The 20,605-nt window shown below is 42.9% G+C and overlaps 1 protein-coding gene across 2 annotated transcripts in view, besides 4 other annotated features; it reads right to left on the reverse strand.

The window, feature by feature from the left end:
* NEDD9 (neural precursor cell expressed, developmentally down-regulated 9) overlaps positions 1-20,605 on the reverse strand; it is a 199,051-nt gene that overhangs the window by 86,540 nt on the left and 91,906 nt on the right. The gene's annotated exons all lie outside the window — the stretch shown is intronic.
* Positions 7,559-7,853: a silencer, noted in NCBI's record as "tiled region #1219; K562 Repressive non-DNase unmatched - State 21:Repr". NCBI's record gives its function as "represses a minimal TATA promoter and a strong SV40 promoter by Sharpr-MPRA in K562 cells {active_cell/tissue: K562}" and the evidence as "EXISTENCE:reporter gene assay evidence [ECO:0000049][PMID:27701403]".
* Positions 7,751-7,820: an enhancer, noted in NCBI's record as "active region_23981". NCBI's record gives its function as "activates an Ori minimal core promoter by ATAC-STARR-seq in GM12878 lymphoblastoid cells {active_cell/tissue: GM12878}" and the evidence as "EXISTENCE:reporter gene assay evidence [ECO:0000049][PMID:35858748]".
* Positions 7,921-7,970: an enhancer, noted in NCBI's record as "active region_23982". NCBI's record gives its function as "activates an Ori minimal core promoter by ATAC-STARR-seq in GM12878 lymphoblastoid cells {active_cell/tissue: GM12878}" and the evidence as "EXISTENCE:reporter gene assay evidence [ECO:0000049][PMID:35858748]".
* Positions 7,981-8,080: an enhancer, noted in NCBI's record as "active region_23983". NCBI's record gives its function as "activates an Ori minimal core promoter by ATAC-STARR-seq in GM12878 lymphoblastoid cells {active_cell/tissue: GM12878}" and the evidence as "EXISTENCE:reporter gene assay evidence [ECO:0000049][PMID:35858748]".

Here is a 20,605-nt window from a genome sequence, read left to right on the forward strand (position 1 = left end):
ACACTCTTGGGCGGATGCGGTGGCTCATGCCTGAATCCTAGCACTTTGGAAGGCCAAGGCGGGTGGATCACCTGAGGTCAGGAGTTGTAGCACAGCCTGGCCAACATGGAGAAACCCTGACTCTGCTAAAAGTACAAAAATTAGCCGGGTGTGGTGGTGCGTGCCTATAATCTCTCAGCTATTCTGGAGGCTGAGGCAGAAGAATTGCTTGAACCCAGGAGGCAGAGGTTGCAGTGAGCCGAGATCGCATCACTGCACTCCAGTCTGGGCAACAGAGTGTGACTCCTTAAAATAAACAAACAAAAAATCCACTCTCTTGTTGATAAACAAAGATAAAACACTCTCCTGATGAAAGGGGTTTGCCATAGGGCGCTTTCTCGCATTCTGTCAACTTCAATTAGCAAGCAAAGCTACAGTGTTCATTACCTTAGATTACAAAATAGTAAGTAGTGATTAACTGTAATTAAAGGGAGCTAGAATTACAGTATCACCAAATGCAGGCTATGTGGTTTCTCTCCCTCCCCTCAACCTTTTTTTTTTTTTTTTTTAAATGTTCCAGGGATCTCAATATATCTTCACAGAGTGATTTCTTGCCCCCGGCTTTTCCTACCATCCCAGGAATAATAGCAACACTTATCTACCTAAAATAAACAAGCAGACACTTTTATGACAGCTGGAGACCTTGAACACACTTGGCCATGGCTTATCAGCCTCCAATGACGTAGTCGTGAAGCAAAGAACCTCTTGGACCCTTAACTTTATCACTAATAGCAACATCCCCAGCAGCCTCACGTCCGCATACAGGAGCTGGCAAAACCCTAGAAAGCAGCTGCTCTAATGCTCTCATCTGGTTCAGTGAAGTTACTTAACACAGCACTTAGAAGGGTCTGTTTCTTTCCATGCAGATACCCTCATTAGTTATTTACGTTCAGTCTAGCAGGACAGACAAACCCAAAGAGACAGTTGAGGCTCCAAAGAGGGAAGTCAAAGAAAGAGAACTGCTTGAGGATTTCAGGGAAGGCTTCTAGGAGGAGGTAATGCCTTAGCTGAGTATTGGAGGAAGCAGAGGAGTTAGATGACTGGAGAAGGGAATTGGGGGTGGGAAATGCAGAATTCCAATCCCAGGTGACGGCACAGGCAAAGAGGAACCGCAGTCAAGTATCACTCTTTTTTGGCCCATTCTTCAAGTTCAGATTCCTTTATTTACTTTTTTTGAGACAGGGTCTCACTCTATCTTCCAGGCTGGAATACAGTGGTGCTATCATAGCTCACTCCAGCCTCCATCTCCTGGGCTCAAGTGATCCTCCCGATTTAGTGTCTCAAGAGTTGGCACCACAGTTGCCACCACACCTGATTAATTTTTTTTAACCTTATTGTTTTGTAGAAATGCGGTCTCATTTTGTTGCCCAGGCTGGTCTTGAACTCCTGGCCTCAAGTGATCCTCCCACCTTGGCCTCTCAAAGTGCTGAGGTTAGAGAAATGAGCCACTGCGCCTGGCCCAGATCCCTTTGCTGATCCATTTTCCCTGCTTCAGCTGCCTTTGGCAGAACAGAAAGGTCTGCTCAGGCAGTGTGAAGCTGGCCTTGTTGCAGAAAGATCTGGTAGCCTGGCCAAGTCTGGTCTTAACAGTTAGCAGGTGCAATCTGAGCTCTTGCACTTCTTGGAGGGCAACTTTCCAGCAAGAGAAGGGCCAGTAGGTTCAGTCTAAGCAGCTACAAGGGCCCAGTGTGGGGAGGGAGTAAACATATCCAAGGAATTGAAGAAATCAAGATAAAGTCTTGGGCCTCAATGGCTTCATCTTCATAGTCCTGCATTAAGTTTACCCCATACTTCTGTGTTTGGAAGGAAAAATGCAGTCTTGACATGGCGACATCAACTACATGTGGCTGAATCTGCAGCTTCATTCATTGGGGAAGTGGTATGTCATCCATTCCAAGGTTTTGACTTCCTCTCTACCTCTGCTCCCTCCTCTCCAATCTCAGCCATTTTCTCCAGCTGTTGTTGGTAAAGAAATGATAAACACGCACATAGCTGAAGTATGACAATATTATACAGAGCTGCATTTGGGCCCCTGCTATGTAAACTAGGCTCATGTATTGAAAAACCACAATAAGCAACAAGACACATCCCTTCTCTGAAAGCATGTTTCCGTCTAGTTCTCCTATCAAGATATTTTCCCAAGCACTTCTTAGGTGGCCCCACCACAGAAGAGAGCTGTCATATCAAAGGACAGCCCGGTGCAGAACTCGTGTGCCAACTCAGAGGACTCTCTCCCTCTGCTCCTTTCCATGGGTGCTGAGCCTGGGGACTTGGTTTACCTTTTCTCTCGTGCTGCAGATGAGGATCTCTGTGTCTGAAGGATTACTCATTATGTGCAGAAAACAAATCAGGTCTTGTCACTCCCTCCACCTGCAAATCTGTCTTCGTCTATCACAAATGGTAGTTCCTCTTGCTTTCTAATGTTCCATAGAAGAGAGGGGCGACTCAGTACAAGATGTAGAATTCACAGTCAGTACCTGACAGATGTTATACTTTTTAAAAAATTCAAACAAAACAAAATGATCACCTTCTACTTTTAAGGTTTCTGGCTACATGCACATTTGAACGCAGCTTGGTCTAGATTTGCTTTTTACATTTCTCTTTCATTGCAATGTTTCAAATTAAGGTAGGATGTGTGAGCAAAAGAAGGGGCAAAAGAAGAAGGAGAACGCTATCATCTGATGAATTTATTTCAAGATCGGTAACTGGGAAAATTCTCGTTTTGCACTAATAGTAGAAGGTGTGTTTCCTTTCCCCCACCTAACCTCAGATTGCTCAGTTCCTTGCCTCCCCTTCCACCTGCCTTGGTGTGCACAGACCCTGGAGGTGTGGGATGAGAATGGAGCTGCAGAGGAGTCTCCAAGGTGCAGAAAGAAAAGCCATGCCTGGGAGCCGCAGTTGGAAGCATCATTTCTTTGTTTTCGGCTTCATCCTGGTCACACTTCATTGCATTCTCCAGTGTGCAAACGGAGCGTTGTTTACCCATACAGATATTGGGTGGTTGTTGTTTTTATATGTTCTTCATAGCTGTTTGCTGGATTTTCCTCTGTCTTCTTCCCAGTTTGATTAATCACTTCCCTCTTGACCCTGAAATCATCAGCCTGTCTGTGCCAAAACACCGCCTCCCACAGAGATAGGGTCTGGTGAATATATCCGTCACATAGCTCTGCTTGTTTTCCAGTCTTCGTGATTAACAGGGACAAGTGGCTCTGTGCTGGCATCTGAAAAAAAGACACTCCTATTGCTTAACCGTTGCCCAGTTTAACTCACTTGAGGAAGTGATTTCTTGGGAATTGGCTAGGTGAAGGTTTATTGAAAGGAGTGTCCAAGATTATGATATTGGGAATTAAATAGCCAGGCAATTAACCATCTACTTTTCCTTATGTGAGTGTACTTTACCTAATAGATATATTCTTGAAAATGTGTATCCAAGTTGAGATTAAAAAAATTATAACTAGCACAGAGGTATCAGTTACTTAAGACTCTGGTTAAAATGAACAATTTGTTTGTAAATGAATAATCCCTCTCTAATTTAGTTTCTATAAAAACAAGCATTCAAAAGGGTTGAATTTGCTGAAAGCAAGGGCAACCTGAATCATGACAAGTGCCACCGATGCTGAGGTGCGAACGGCCGGGGACTGCGCCTATCTGTGTGCGTTCACCTGTGTTGCCCTCCACACAGTCCCCGCCTGTGGTCTAGCCTTCTACTCCCTTTCCGGCCGGCAGATTCCGTCTTGCCAGTGGCTTGATATGACTTCATTTATTTGAGGTTGTGAGTCAATGTTATCAAGATCCGAATTACCCTGGGCATTGTTCATACAATGGAAGGCCGAAATGGACACCCATGACATGTAGGGCAACCGTGAGTAGAGCCTCACTCAATATGAGATTGTTCCCTGGAAAATTCCTGTGTTCACCCGACAGCAAGTGATTCAGATGTCAAGATTAAGGAAAACGACTATGGGGGTGGACAGGTACTTTGACGTACTCTGACCTCTTTTTATAGGATTGGTTTCTTCTTCATTAGCATTTTCCCAAGTCGAGCAAAGAAATGTTGCCTACCTGAATGTCACGTCAACATCCAAATGTGCTTTTCCTCTTTCTAATGAAAGAATTCAGCCAAAGGCTGCAATGAACATGCTACGAGATACTGTTTCCAGGCAAAATCCAAAAGTTGTTTTGAGACCAAATCCTTTTTCCACTCTCTCTCCCTCTCTATGTCAAGCCCAAGAACCAGATGAGAATTGGAGTTAGTATTTGTTAGGAGCTTTTTGGAACATACCCTCATTTGCACATATCTCAATTTCCAAGTTTTACGGAAGTAATAATAGAGTATTTTGTTATAAAGGGGTATGGGATAGGGCTAAATGACCTGGGCTGTCCCTGTGATCAGGGAGTGTCCATGTCTTATGTTCTGAAGGGTGATGTGGGCCCCACTCTTCAGATTCTTCCCTGGACCTGGAAGGGGTACCCAGTCACATCTCACTCACCTGGCCCTCAGTGCAGACAGGGCTACAGCTGGTGCCACACTCTGGGCCCCTTTCACCAGGCTGTGAATGCTGTAGATCAACCTTGGTTTCTCACAAGCACCCCTAGGTCTATCCTTGCTCTCTGGGAGTATTAATGCTTTCCTTATTTCCCACTAATCAGTTATTCAATCAACTCGTTAATCCACTTCTGGGCCTGCTGGGCACAGAGCACTGTACTCTCTGTTGGGAACTGTACTCTCTGCTGTACTCACTGTACCAAGCTGAATAATACCTACTGCATCACAATAATATATGACCTCAGACCTGTTAGAATTGCTATTACCAAAAAATAAAGCATGAAAAAACCAATGATGTGTGTTGGTGAAGATGTGAATAAAAGAACCCTTACACACGGCTGGGGAAAATGTACACTAGTACAGTCCTTATGAAAAACAGTAGGGAAATTCCTCAAAAAATTAAAAATAGGACTACCATATGACCCAGCAATTCCATTCTGGTCTAGATATATACACACTTCTAGGTACAAATCTAAAGAAATGAAATCAGTGTGTCAAAGAGCTCTCTGCACCCCCATATTCATTGTAGCAGCATTGACAAGAGCCAAGTTATGGAATCAACCTAAGTGTCCAATGGATAAATGAATAAATGTAGATGAATAAAGAAAACGCAGGACATATAGATAGTAGAATACTACATATCCTCAAAAAAGGCCATCTTGGCATTTGTGACAACATGGGTGAACCTGGAGGACATTTTGCTCAGGGGAATAAACCAGACACAGAAAGACAAATACAACACGATCTCACTTACTTGCAGGCTGTAAAAAAGTGGAACTCATAGAAGTAGAGAGTAGAAAGGTGGTTATGAGAGGCTAAGGTTGGGGAGAGGAGGTACAGGGATTGAGGAAATGTTAGTAAAAGGATACAAAATTTCAGTTAGGAGGAGTAAGTTCAGAGAATCTATTGTGTGTCATGGTGACTATAGTTAATAGTAAAGTATTGCATACTCGAAAATTGCTAAGAGAGTGGATTTTAAATATTTTTACCCTAAAAAAATGATATATGTCAGCTAATGCATATGTTAATTAGCTTGATTTAGCCATTGCACAAACATTCAAAAGATCATGCTGTACATCATAAAATATACGCATTTCTTATTTGTCAATTAAAATACATACATACACACACACACACACACACATATATATATATACAAAATTTTTTTTAAAAGACCTCCTGCATGTTCTCAGCTAGTGAATGGTCTAGCAAGGAGGCCGACATGCCCACAGGCAGCAAGCTCAGCACTTTGTCAAGGGTGCTAGGATAGAAACAAGCACAGAGCAAACAGAGCAGGTGTGACTGATGAGTTAATGGTTTACTTGTATTAATGCTCGTTCAGTATAAGCTGCAAGCTGGGAAATTCTTCCAAGCCACTCAAATCACTCAGCATTGGACTTTTGCTTTTCTGGTGACACATCTACTCAAACTGGGGGAGGATGTTCTTGTAGTTATTGGCTTTGCTAAAGCAGCACCCACATTAAAAAAAATGAGAACCGAAGATAGGAAGCACATGTTTCAACCTCCTCAAACGGGAAGTTAGATTCTACTTTAGATAATCACTACTTTAAAGTGTTTTAATCATAAGAAATCATCTCAAGACATCATTAGATACTGATGGATCAATCTATAGTAAATTTGTGGAGATGTCATAAATTCAAAATTTCAAACAATACGCTAGATTTGGAAGTGGGAGACATCTTTCAGTTGTGCAAACAGAAACAGAGATAGATTAAGAAATCTAATTAAAACCTCCACCAATACCAATTAAAATGGAAATTACCTGGGAGAAAATGAGTCTTGATTAAGAGAAATGCCTGTGTTACAGATTTTTAAATGCAAGTTAATTATTATTATTTAGCTACTACTTAATTGGCATTCATTCTATGCTAGCCTGCATTATTGGCTCTGTGTGTGTGTGCATGTATGTGTGCATGCGTGTGTGTGCACCTGTGCACGTGTGTGTGTGCGTGCATGTGTGTGTGCACGTGTGTGTGCGCACGCGCACACATGCTGAGTCTTCTCTCCTTATCTAAAATGTAAGTTCCTTGAGGGTAGGGATTGATGGAATTCCTAGGGCCTAGAACAGGGGTTTGCAGGGAGTGGGTACACAGAGGGTGCTGCTGTTGCTGCTACTCACGCTTTTGGCCCACCTGAACCCAAATCAGTGCTTAAAATTCTGCCAAGTCAAACCTCATTAGGATTTTTTTTAACTTCAAACCCAGCTCTTTCTGGAGGTCCTGGTTCCCTGATTCTGATGCTTTTGCAGAAGGGCATCTGAGTACCAGAGGGGAACAGGATTGGTTCCACCTTCTCTCTTTACTCAGGAGAGCACAGTAGTAACATGTGCCAGGCTTCCAAGGGAAAACAGAGCCAAATAGTGGCCATTATTATAGCATAATGCATATGTGATGGGAAAGAGGGATTCAAAGGAATTTGGAAGGAACATAATGGAGGAACAAGGATGAATAGTTCAATTAGATCCTGGCAAAGGAATAGCTCTTTGGTTACAGGATCTGGAAACAAACAAACAAACAAACAAACAAACTAGTGATGGAAATGAAAATAGAGTCACTGCAGAGTTTCCAAGGCAGCGAAGCAAGTGTACCAGCACAGTACAAGAGGGCTCTGATGCCCGGGGGGTGCATCTGGAAGTGACTAATTTTCATTTGTAATATGGTGCAGTGGCAAAGCATGGGGCGGAACTATCACGCTGCAAAGACATCCACTGGGAAAGCCACCAGCCACTCTGAGCAATGTCTCTTGTCCTTACACTTAAAATGGAAGCTGCTGGAAGAAAAGGGTTTCTGCCTCTACTTACACCACTGAGTACTTGATAGGTAGTGAGACTATGGTTTTGGAGAGCAAATGTAAACACAGCCAAGAATGGCTACTTAAGTCAATAGTGGGAGGTTGGAAGAATGAAGCTTTTATTAGACAAAAGGTCAACATTCATGAGTGAGAAGAGAGAGGTGGCGTTTGGGGGTGGGGAAGTGGTGGAGGAAGAAATTCCAAAGCATGTTACAAATGGGGCTCAGGAATGTGTTTCAATTAGCAAAGGAAGTGAGCTAGGAGGTCTGAGTTCTGACAGGCATGGGCAGGGGGTGGAAAAGAGACAGAGGCCAGCTGGTGAGAAAAGGCTCAGAGAGCAGCGCGAACTAGTCCACAGGGATGAGGCACGTTGCCCTCAGCCCTGAGATTCTCAAGGAGGCTAGGACATCTTAAAAAATTGGACTTTTGCCCATAGCAGTGTTGAACCATCTCAGTTTGGTGCTAAAGGTCTGTGGTGGAGGCACATTTCTTCCAGCATGTGGGAACTTGAGGGGCAATTCTCTTTCTGATTCTACAGCGGATGTTGTGTAGCGTTCACCCACTCTAGGGCAATAGGGACTTTCTTTGGTGACTTCCCAGCTACGGAATGATTAGTAATAGCTAACTCGGCTGGTTCTTCTCCATTTGCCTGCCTCCCACCCACCCAGATTCATTCTCTTTCTTCCTTTGCCTTGCCTTGCCTCTTGAGAAGCTGAGCCTGAGGGCCACTTCTTTTCCACTCCCTGGCTTCTCACTGGATCCAGCCAGCGGGAGGGAGGCTCCTGCAAGAGGTCGGAGGCTGGAGGGAGAATGGGAGTCGGGTGCTTCCTCTCTGCTGCCTCCCTGCTTCTCTCCACAGCCTCAGCTTTCCCTGGGATCTCATAACACATCTTCTTCCCCTCCCGCTTCCTGTCCAGGCTAGTCAAGCTTCTCACTCGCCAGCCTCTGGGAACCACAGTAGCCTTGAATTGCGCTCTTTTCCCAGTTCGCACCTCTGCCTCTCCTCCTTGTTCATCTGAAGCGAATTCTGTACCCTGCCAGACCCTGCCTGTAACGCTGACTGTGCTGAGTGTTGTGACGTGCCAGACCCTGTCCCCAGCCCTCTCTGTGCACTGACTCACTGAGTCCTTCCAACACTTATAGATGAGGCTGGTGTTCAAAAAGGTTAAGATACTTGCTCGAGGCCACAGAGTTGAGGTTTGAACCTAGGTAATTGAGCTCTAGACCCCAAACACTTAACCACTGGTCCTTTCTACCTCTCTCCTAGCTTGAGGTCACATTGCTGAGGTACAGCTAAGAATGAGAAAGTTGCAGATTCGAAGAGCTCAAAATACATGCCAAAGGTTTATACACTAAAGCTTATTTGTAGGAAAATCTCTCAGATCATATTAACTCTTATTTTGTGCACAATTCTAACAGATAAGATACTGGATTTCCCATCTCAGTGGTTCTCAGCCTTGGCTACTCAACACAGTCACCTGGGGAGTTGCAAACTGTCCTCTTGCCTAGGCCAGTGAAAACACAATTCTGGAGATGGGACCCAGGAGATTTCAGCATGCTGCCAACATTCAGAACCACTGTCCTAGCCCACAGCGGCAATTACTAGAAGGCAGGGATTACAGATGGACAGGTCGGGAGATGTAAGTAAAGAGTAGCAGCTGACAGCTACACAAAGGGAGGATAAAGAGTTAAAAAAAAAAAGCAGGGGGAAAAAGGTTCTGATCTGGGTTCATTTAATGTCTGGGCAAACTACCCCTAGGTCTGCAGACATCTTATTATTTTTATTATTACATTATACTCATTATTCTGAGCCAGTTAAAAAATAGAAATATTGTCAATATACTTGATTGAAGTAAAGGCAATAGATACCTTTTGGAAAGTTGTCTTCACCCTAAAAGGCTACATCATTAAGGATATTCTTTAATAGGGTGAACTTGAGCTATCTGGAAGATTCACTTAAAATATGATATTTCCAGCTGATCTGTTGATGCCAAATAAATGAGGAATTGCTGCAGGACTGCAGATGTTTGTCAGAATACTCACACCTGCTGACTTTCAGCAGATGAGAAGTTCACTTGCTCCTGATTCATGCTCACAGATGACATTTTCATATTTCTTGGCCCTAATGCGGGTGCTTGGACAAACACTAGAGCTCCCCAGGCCATGGCAAAAACAGAGGACGATGCCAGCGGCGCGTTCTCCTGGAAACGGTCCGCGGCACCGGGAAAAGCGAAGGCTTCGTGTGTCTCAGCGTGGGCTGCGGTCTCCCGGTTGTTATTGTTGGTTGTTCTTTTTGGACTGGGGTTGGAATATTCCAACAATCTGTTCCTGACAGAAGACCAAACAACTTTTATTTCTTTCTTATGTTTCTCGTGGCTGGTCTTCTTGTTTACATGCTTGCCTGCGAAAGCTGATGTTGTGATGTGAGGATGGCTCGCAGGATATCAAGGGTGGCTCAGGGCTCCCCCTTGCATTAGTTGAGAAGCCGGGGCCAGGCAAGGGGAAATTCAACAATTGCCATTCCCACTGCAAACAAACAGCTCTCATCTCCTCCCGCTCCCCGCACCCCTGAAACTCCATTGCTGCTTATTCCTTCCCTCCAGTTCTTCAAGGACTCTAGCACTGTTTTGCGTTATCTTACCTTGAAAACACAGATTTCAGCATTAGCTCACCTTGAAAACAAAGATGTCCCAGAGAAACATCGTGGGTGGCTCCCGGGAAAGGTCTTGCAGCTACAGCCTTGTCCAGGCTCAGCTCCTGCCTGGGCAGGATTCTCATCCTTGGCCTATTGACATTTGGGGCCAGATCATTCTTCATGGTGGGGGCTGCCTTGTGCATTATAGGATGTTTTGCATCATCCCTGGTCTCTACCCTCTAGATGTCAGTTGCATGCCTTCCACCATTTTTGACAGTGAAAAATGTCTCTATTCATTGCCAGTGTCTTGTGGGGGATGCAATTACCTCCAGCTGAGAAACAACATGCCAAGGGGAAGATGTATGGAGACCTTAGCTTTCCAATTCCATCAGACACTGGGTACCCTGGGGCCAAGGAACTAAACTAACATCTCAAGGTTGTTCACTCCACCACTTGGCTGTGAGGTGTGTGGGCTGTTGTCCTCTATCTAAAGTATTTTCATGTAAGTGAAGAGTTAGACCTGTTTTGCATGGACCCTGGATTGACTGGGAACTTTCCAGCAGTCAGAACTGGCCAGGGGAAATGAGCAGCCTGAGGAGTGGCTGGCCCCCACCATGGGGAGGACTGGGTGTCTTCCATTTGCTCCTCCGGTGCCATCTCCACCCTCTTCTCCCCTGCTCTGCACCCCAGAGTCTGACCTGCAGTTATTCCACTGGGCGGCTCCTCTGCCCTTTGGCTTCCAGTTGAGTGGAGAAGGAAGTAAAGTCTGGACATTTTCCCCTGCCTCTCCCATCCGTACAAGGCCACTGTGGCTTGGCTATGTCCCTCAACCAATGGTCTTGACTCCTGTTGGGGGCCCCACGCTTGGAGCCCTCTTCTGCCTCCTAGGCATGGTGAGGGAGGTTTCCCTGACACTAGCCCTGGCCACTGCATTGCCCTTGGTGTTTGCCAAGCCCTGGCCTCACTTGTAGCTAGTCCTGGCATCAAATCCTCTGAGTTCCTGTTACATTAGGATAATCTGAGTGTGTCCTGTATGTCTTGCTGGGATCTTTTCTAATACAAGAAGTCATGGGGATTTTATATTGAGGATACATGGACCTTCAAGGCCTCTTTGAACCCACAGATTCTACGACATGCATAAGCATTCAATGGTTGCTCAAACACTAGCCTGAAAAGGAAAACCTTGTCCTCTTGGCTGAGAGATAATGAATATTTATTCATAACTTCCTATATTTGTATCATTGCTGTGGAAGAAAGATAGGCATGTTTAGAATGCCCAAATGCTTGTGTTGCAGATGGTATCAGTTGTTGAACCAAGAACTACCCTTTTAAGTCTTCTTTCTTGCTTACAGAACCCTGACTTCTTCCACCTTCCTCAGAGCAGCCATGTCCTTTGAGAGGCCCTGGGCTCTTCCCCAGCCCTAAAGTGTGATATCGATTTCTATCATTCTGCCTTCCAGGATTGTCGTAGACATGGGTGCATGGTACAGTTCTGGGTTCGTTGAAAAGATAATTATGCAGGAGGTTGCTGGTAAAGTTTCTTCACTCTTAGAAAGAGACACAATGAAAGGCTATTCCCTTTATTCCACCTCTGGACATTGGTGTGAGAAGATGTGATATCTGGAGCTACAGCAGTCCCCCCGTTTTTTCTTTTGTTTTTATCTTTTTAGAGACAGGGTCTCCCTGTGTTGCCCAGGCTGGTCTCAAACTCCTGCACTCAAGGGATCCTCCTGCCTTGGCTTCCCAAAGTGCTGGGATTACAGGCATGAGCCACCACACCTGGCCAACAGGGTGGCAGAGCCCAAAGATGAAGAAATCTTGGTCCTTGATATGTTTGAGCCAATGAGATAACCAACCTCAGGATTACTCTTTTTTTATATATTTTTATTTTTATTTTTATCTTGAGACAGACTCTCGCTCTGTCACCCAGGCTGGGGTGCTGTGATGTGATCTCGGCTGACTGCAAACTCCTGGGTTCAAACAATTCTTGTGCCTCAGCATCCTGGGTAGCTGGGATTACAGGCACACACCACCCCAACCAGCTAATTTTTGTATAGATAGGGTTTTGCCATATTGGCCAGGCTTGTCTAGATCTCCTGGCCTCAAGTGATCCACCTGCCTCGGCCTCCTAAAGTGCTGGGATTACAGGGATGAGCCACTGTGCCCGGCCCTCAGAATTACTCTTCTCAGAGAATTATATTATGTGACATCATGAATGCTTTTATTGCTTAAGCTATTTTTGGTCAAGATTTCTGGTACTTGACCTGTAGCACAAGGTACTTTAATACATGGTTTCAGGTGTTCATCTCCTTTAATTCAGTAATAAATAGTAGAGATTAAAAACGCCATCTGAACCTCTCAGCGACTTTTGCTCACTCCCTCCTTGGAGCAATTTTACAGTTTGGCTTACATGTTACCATGCTTTCCAGATACTCCTCCGACAACCCTGGCTGTTCCCTCTCACTGTCTTTTCTTGGATGCTCCTCTTCTCTTTTCTAGCAAGTCACCACATGGTGCCAGTGCCATGGCTTTAATGGCCATGCAGACAGTGATGACCACAAACGGAAGTCTCTCTAACCTTGACTCTTCCTCTGAAGCCCAGCTGTGTGTATACAACTGCCTGCTCAACATGAACCCTGGATATCTCATAGACAATGCCAACTTCACATGTCCAGAACAGACTTGCTGTCCCTCCTCCAACCTTCTCCATGGTTCTACATCTCAGTAAATGGCATTCTCCTTTGCTATAACCAATTTTAGAGTCATTTTTTACTTTTTTCATGGCATGGAACCTAAACCCTACATCCCATCCTTCAACATATATCACATATCTGTTTCTTGCCTCTTTGACTACTACCTTCCTTGTTCATCTAAGCCACCAATATCTCTCTCCTGAGCTACGGCAACAGCTCCTCGCTGGCTGTCCTGCTTTCCCTCTGGCTCCCTGGTGATCTGTTCTAGGTATATCGGCCCAAGTGATTTTTCTAAATAAGGTCAGATCTTGTCACTTTCCTTCTGGAACTCTCCAGTGGTTTCATATCTCGCTTGGAATATACAGAAAAGTCGTTATGATCACCTACAATGCCCTATATGGTTTGGCCTTTGGATGCCTCTCCAGCGATCTCTTTATTGCAACCATACAGGCTTCTTTTATTTTCCTCAAACACTTTGAGCAAACTTCTACCTTATGACCTTGGCATTTGCCAGTCCCGTACCTGGAATGTTCTACTAGCTGCCCAGCTGTCGCCTCACTCACTGTTTTCAAGTCTCTATTCAACCATTGCAGCCTCAGAAAGAACATCCTTAAATACTCTATCTAAACTAGCATTCCTGGCATTCTCCATCTCTTTACCCTATTTTATTTTTATTCTTGAAATCCCTTACTCCTTGACAACCTATTACAACCTTTGTGTTTATTTGCTGATTACCTGTCTCTTTGGCTTGGATATAAGCTTTGTGGGAGTAGGGATTTTGTTTTGTTCACTACTGTGTCCCCTGCTCTTAAAACAATACCTGACCATGGTGAGAGGGTGGTCAGGATTTGCTGAATGCATGAATGAATGAATGAATGGCTCAAATGCCATCCTGTTATTGTAGATCAGGGAACTTGAGTAGAATCTTGGTTACAGAGGAGGGAAAAAGGCATTTGAGACCATTAGATTCCAGAGTTTTCCTCTCTAGCAATAGTCACCACATGGATGATGACCTCACCCAGTGCCATGGCTTTAATGACCATGGCAAACTCTTCTTGCAAGAGAGGAAAGATTTGGGATCTAATAATCTTGAATGCCTCTTTCTTGAATCTTGAGTGCTTTTCTCTTTCTATTACTTTAATACTGTCTCCTACACACAAAGGTTAATGATTGCTTTTCCTTCAAAGATAATTCGTATTTTTATAGGGAACAAAGTCATCAAGCACAGAAATGGATTTCCAATTAGACAGATTGTGTCAGCAAGCCAGGAGGGAGGGTTCACGTGTGTGTGTGCAAGGGTGGATGGTAGTAGTGGTGAGTGATGAGAGGCACACAGAGCCTTCCTGGGTTTGGAAATCATATCACAATATAAAACCAGTCTAGTATGTATGAAAGGTGATCTGGTCACTTCTTTACTCTAGAGAAAGGGCCAGAGTTAGTGTAGATGCATCCTTATGAAAATGTCATCTCTCTAAGGATTGCAGGAGCAATGAGGAAATATAATTCATACAATCTCCTCCAGGGTTTTAGACCTCAAGATAGGCCAGAGAGAGATTAAGGAAGCCAGTAGTAAAGCTAATTGTGGTGGAGATTTGCCTATCATGGTGAGATCCTGCATAGAGATGTCTGACATAGCATCTTAAATACAGCATCCAAAGAATGGAATGTTCCTGTTCAGGGTCAGGCCTTTTAAGAGCAAACCTACTGGCTGGGCGCAGTGTCAGTGGCTCACGCCTGTAATCCCAGCACTTTGGGAGGCCGAGGCAGGCAGATCACGAGGTCAGGAGATCAAGACCATCCTGGCTAACACGGTGAAACCCCGTCTCTACTAAAAAAAAAAAAAAAAAAAAAAAAAGTAGCTGGGCATGGTGGTGGGCGCCTGTAGTCCCAGCTACTAGGGAGGCTGAGGCAGGAGAATGGCGTGAACCCGGGAGGTGGATGTTGCAATGAGATAAGATCGCGCCACTGCACTCCAGCCTGAGCGACAGAGCAAGACTCTGTCTCAAAAAAATAAAAAATAAAAAATAAAGAACAAACAGACCTACTTCTAGCAAATTCAGTTCAGCTTCGGTTATTCAAAACAGTTGAGAAGCATACCTGAAGGTGTTAACCACTAGTTTGCTACATAAGCCAATAATATCTACCCTTTATTGGATACTCATTTGTTCCAAATACTATGTTAAGTGCTACTAATAATAAAATCAACAATGATTGCTAATATTTATATATTAATATAATAAATATAATATAAAACTTGCTAAGATTTATATATTAATATAACTAATATTTATTAGTTCTTATATGACAAGAATAGTTCTAAGTCTTTAGTGAGCTTATTTTATTCTTATGAAGACCCTTATGAGGGAGGTGCTAGTATTTTCTGCATTAAGCTGATCAGAAAACTGAGTTCTAGAGAGACTGTGAATTTCCCAAGGTGATTCAGTTATAAGTGGTGCAGCTGGGATTTGAACCCAGGCAGTTTACCTTCACAACCGGTGTTACGTTAAACTGCATAAATGTTAAACTCACTTAACATTCGTGACTTTAGGAAATAGGTGCTATCGTTTGCTTTTTATAGTCCCTGCATTGTGTTGCTGTAAGAAGCCTAAGCCTCTGGTGCCTTTAGCTTGTCAGTCTTGAAGGGGAAATTGATCATTTTCCTGACAGTCTGATACTGAGAAGTGATGTACTTTGAATACTTTGATACTGAGAAATGATATTTTGGTGTACAGTTCTCTGTACACCAAAAACCATAAAACAACTGTTGAGAAAAATTAAAGAAGATATAAATAAATGGAGAGATATAATGTGTTCATGAATCCAAAGACTTATATCGGTAAGATGTCAGTTCTTCCTAAATTGATTTATAGATTTGATATCACCCCAATCAAAAGCCCAGTAGGCTTTTTTTTGTAGAAATGAACAAATCGATTCTGAACTTCATATAGAAACACAAAGGACCTAGAACAGCACAAACAAAAAGCAAAACAAAAATCCTCAAAAACAAAAATCTTTATAAAAGAAGAACAAACTTGGAGGATTAATACTGCCGGATTTCAAGAATTGCAAAACTATACTAATCAAGACAATGTGATATTGGCTTAAAGACTGACAAATAGATAAGTGGAATAGAAAGAGGCCTACACACCTATATGGACAACTGACTTTTGACAAAGGTGCAAAGAAACTTTAGTGGAGAAACATAGTTCTTTCAACAAATGGTGCTAGTACACTTGGATATCAGTATTCAAAATAGTGCACTTCAGTTCATATCTTTCATTATATGAATATTAATTCAAAGTGGATCAGAAATAAATATAAAACCTAAAACTATAAAAATATAAGAGAAAATGTTTGTGACTTTGGGTAGGCAAGGATTTCTTAGTTACCACACCAAAAGCACAATCCATAAAAGAAAAAATTAATAAATAGGACTTCATAAAAATTAAAAACACCTGCTCTTCTAAAGACATTGTTATTAGACTAAGAAGACAAGCCAGACACTGGCGGAAAATGTTTACAATATATAAATCTGATAAAGTAATTGTAGCCAGAATAGATAAGAAACTCTCATTACTGAATAATAAGAAAACAAACCAAATAGAAAATGGACAAAATATTTGACCAGACATTTTATTAATGAGGACACACACAGATGACAAATAAGCATATGAAAAGATGCTCAACATCATTAGTCATTAGAGAAATGCAAATTAAAGCCACTAGAAGGTACCACTACATACCTATTAGAATAGCAAGAATTAGAAGGAAAATCTGACCATAAAATGTGTTGGCAAGGGTGAGGAGGAACTGGAACTCTCAAACACTGGTGATGGGAACATAGTTAGGCAGTTTCTTAGGAAGTTAGGAATACACTGATCATATAATCTAGTCATTGATTCCTAGATTTTTATCCAAGAGAAAAGAAAGCCTATGCCATGCACACCCTTTTACATAAATGTTTTTAGAATTTTATTTCTAATTGCCCCCAACTGGGAACAAACCAAATATCTATCAAAGGTGAATGGATAAACACACTGTGGTCCATCCGTATGAAGAATAACACTCAGCCATAATGAAAATAAATGAACTATTGATACATATTACAACATAGATACAAATCAAAGTAACTATTCTGAGTATAAGAAGCCAGAAAAAGGGTATATAAGATATGTATCATTTATATAATTTTCTGGAATATCCAAACTGATGTATAGTGACAGAAAGCAGATTAACGGTTGCCTAGGAATGGGGCTGGGGGTAGGAAGCAGCAGAGGTGGGATTACAAAGGGGCATGAGAAAACTTCTGGAGGTGATGGATGTGTTTGTTATCTTGGTTTTGGCGATGGTTCCACCAGTGCATATATATATGTCAATGTTATCAAAATTTACTTTAATTGGAGGCTTCTCTACTCAGTACAATCATCATTAATATGGAACTTTTCATGGTTATCTGGTTGGGCTCACACAATTTTTTAAAAAATAAAGGTGTAATTACAGATTAAAATAATTTATATTTTCAGTATGTGTAGTTTATCGTATGTCAGTTATGCCTCAATAAAGCTGTTTAAAGAAGCCAAGTAGGCTGGGCGCGGTGGCTCACGCTTTTAGTCTCAGCACTTTGGGAGGCCCAGGCAGGCGGATCCACTTGATATCAGGAGTTCGAGACCAGCCTGGCCAACATGGCAAAACCCCATCTCTACTAAAAATACAAAAATCAGCCAGGCATGGTGGCAGGTGCCTGTAATCCCAGACGCTCAGGAGGCTGAGGCAGGAGAATTGCTTGAACCTGGTAGGTGGAGGTTGGAGTTAGCTGAAATGGTGTCACTGTATGCCAGTCTGGGTGGCAGAGCGAGACTCCATCTCAAAACAAAACAAAACAAAAACCAAGTAGTTAATGTCTGTGGACATAGGTTTATACGTGTGTGACAAGCTGGTATGAAGGTACAGTAGTGCACAAATCCACACACACACACACACACACACACAGAACACATAAATAAAAAGTGTTATAAGGGCTACAGATAACGGTCTTGAGTTTTTAGGCAATATTCTTCATCCCCTTCATCCATTCTCCTCTACGTACTTTTCCTACACATTCCTACTTAATGGTCTGTTGTAAAGCCTTCTGACTTGGTTTCATGTGAAATCTACTGCCTCAAGTGCACAAGCTTCCAGATGGGGTTGGAGTTTGGGGCAGAGAGTAGCAAAAGGATAAGGTTAAGACGCTAACCCATCACCCAGCAGGTAAGAGGTGTCACTTAACCTTCCAGCTTCTGGAAGTTGAATTTTGTAATGAGCTGTCACTGTCTTTATCACCTAACAATTACTGCAACTGAGTAGGGTGGGATAAAACCTGGAAAACATTACTCTGTCAACAGCATTGATATCTTTGATGAAGCTGTCTATGGTGGGGTCCCGGGTACAGTTGAAAATTGGCACATGGCCTGTTAAAATGGTTTAGGTTCTTTCCATTCCTCCACTCTGCAGACTGCTCCTGGCTTGTGATATGGCAATTGTTTGGTCAGATCACTAGAGGTGGTCATGTTGTTAGAACATCCTGATCTTGACTTTATATGTGGCTCAGTCAAAATTACGCAGGCTGGTTCAGCTGCAGTTCAAGTGGCGTATGGCGTGTGGCCTGGGGTGTTGCTGGGCAACATTACTGCCTGTCCAGCTGCATGCCGAGGGTGGTGTTTACCTTAAAGAGTACACCCTGGTCTAAGGTCTGTTAGGCTCATAAAAGTGATTTTGTTGGCGTGCTTAGGGTGGAGTCAGCACACCACGTCAGATATAATTAAATTCGTCTATACAACTGACAAGTAGACCAGAATGTGTTGAGGCAGAGCTGCCAATAGTCTCACTATGTGAGGAGCCAAATTATCACAAGGTTGCTTGGTGTCCACAGGATCAGAACAAGTGCTCTTAATGGATCTTAGAATGCTGCTGTCAATGGCTTGAGGCACTCTTGCTCACAACAGGGAACGTCTCATAAAGGGAACCATACTTTTGGTCAACACTGCCAAGACTATGTTTTTCTTAGATGCTTCCATGTCCAAGGGCTTTGCCATCTAGAGGGGCTTTCAGACCCTCTGATTCTCCTTCTTTCTTGCTTCTTTGGCTGACCAGCCCCTTCTGTTCACATACCTTTCATCCAATCAGATAACATGGATAACATTTCATCCAATCAGGCACAATGCAGCCACTTGGCATTCTGCTCACTGACTTACAACCATATATTCATCTTCCTCATTACTATACCCCAGATCAGCAGGACTGAAGTTTAAGAAGTTCCCACACTCTTCTATTTTACAGACAGATGGATGTTTTCTTGGTTTACTTCCATAATTGACTAATTGCAGCCATTTTGTTTTACTAGTGTGTATGTATTGAATGTATGCATTTTGCTAATTTAACTCTGAAATCTTCCTTATGTCCAAGTCCTTTGGAGGTATCTAACTAGCTTGCCTCTCCTCTCCTGCCATTGATTTGAGTCCAGACTTTGCCATAAACTAACCTATGCTCAGCAAACGCATTCATCTTATTGGCTTCAAACAGGCTGTTAATAAAATGGATACAATATTTCTGACTCACAAGAACAAACATTTTTTGAAGAGCTGGAACAGCTAGCATGAAAAGAAGAGCTTGAGATGAAAAAGTGAACAATGAAGGCACATGTGATTGAATTCTTCCACTGTACTCTTTTATATCTGACCTGTAAAATCTAGGAAGTGTGATTATATTTTGGGAAAAGGCAGCTAAATTAAGTAATATAATTCTGGTACTGCTATAAACCTATTTTCTATTATTATTGTTATTTGATTTTATGTGGTAATATTCAGGTTAAATCAGCACCATACTTTGCAGCCAAATGGCAGATATTTTATTTTATTTTATTTATTTATTTTTGAGATGGAGTCTCGCTATTTCGCCCAGGCTGGAATGCAGTGGCGCGATCTTGGCTCACCTCAACCCCCACCTCCCGGGTTCACGCCATTCTCCTGCCTCAGCCTCCCGAGTAGCTGGGACTACAGGCACCTGCCACCACGCCTGGCTAATTTTTGTATTTTTAGTAGAGACGAGGTTTCACCATGTTACACAGGATGGTCTTGATCTCCTGACCTCATGATCTGCCTGCCTCAGCTTCCCAAAGTGCTGGGATTACAGGCGTGAGCCACTGTGCCTGGCCAGCAGATATTATTTGTATTTATTTTCTCTCCCTAGCTGTTATAGGTCAGGGGTGGGGAGGGTAGGGAAGGAGAGAAGGAGATCTCAGACTGTTAAATAATTTCTCCAAGATCCTTAAGAATAAGAGAAACAATATGCAGCATTTAATTATTCCATACCAGATCTCCAGGTGAAAATCTAAAAATTCAGGCAAAAAATCCTATAGATATATAACCTCTGTAATGGTAAAGTCAGAGTTTAAAAAAATAGGTATGTAACTAACTGTTCCATTAGCACTTGTGTAGACGGTTCCACGGGGGCAAAGATGCATGCAGATTTTCACACAGGAGTTCTTTCCACTCGTATTACCTCCAGACAGCCTTACGATTCCGTTAAGGAGACTCCATTTGCCTATTTGCCTGTGTCCATTTCCTCATTCTTTAGCAGGTATTTGTTGGAAGCCTCTGTTGTTTCTCACATTTGCTCGGAACTATGAGCAGGACAACCTTTCAAGACATATGTTTTCATGAGCCACAGCGACGCTTGCAAGCCAGGCTGATACCATCCAGACCTTCATTCCCCCCAAAGGCTGTCTCCACCTTTTAAGCTCTCTTGACAGAATCAAACACAAAACACAAGCCTTAGTATGTGACTTCTGGCCTCCAAATAAAGCATTATGGGGTATTCTGTTTCTATTTTCCTTGACTTTCCCCA

This window comes from Homo sapiens, chromosome 6, assembly GCF_000001405.40.
Source record: "Homo sapiens chromosome 6, GRCh38.p14 Primary Assembly".
In the NCBI taxonomy this organism is placed as follows: Eukaryota; Metazoa; Chordata; class Mammalia; order Primates; family Hominidae; genus Homo; species Homo sapiens.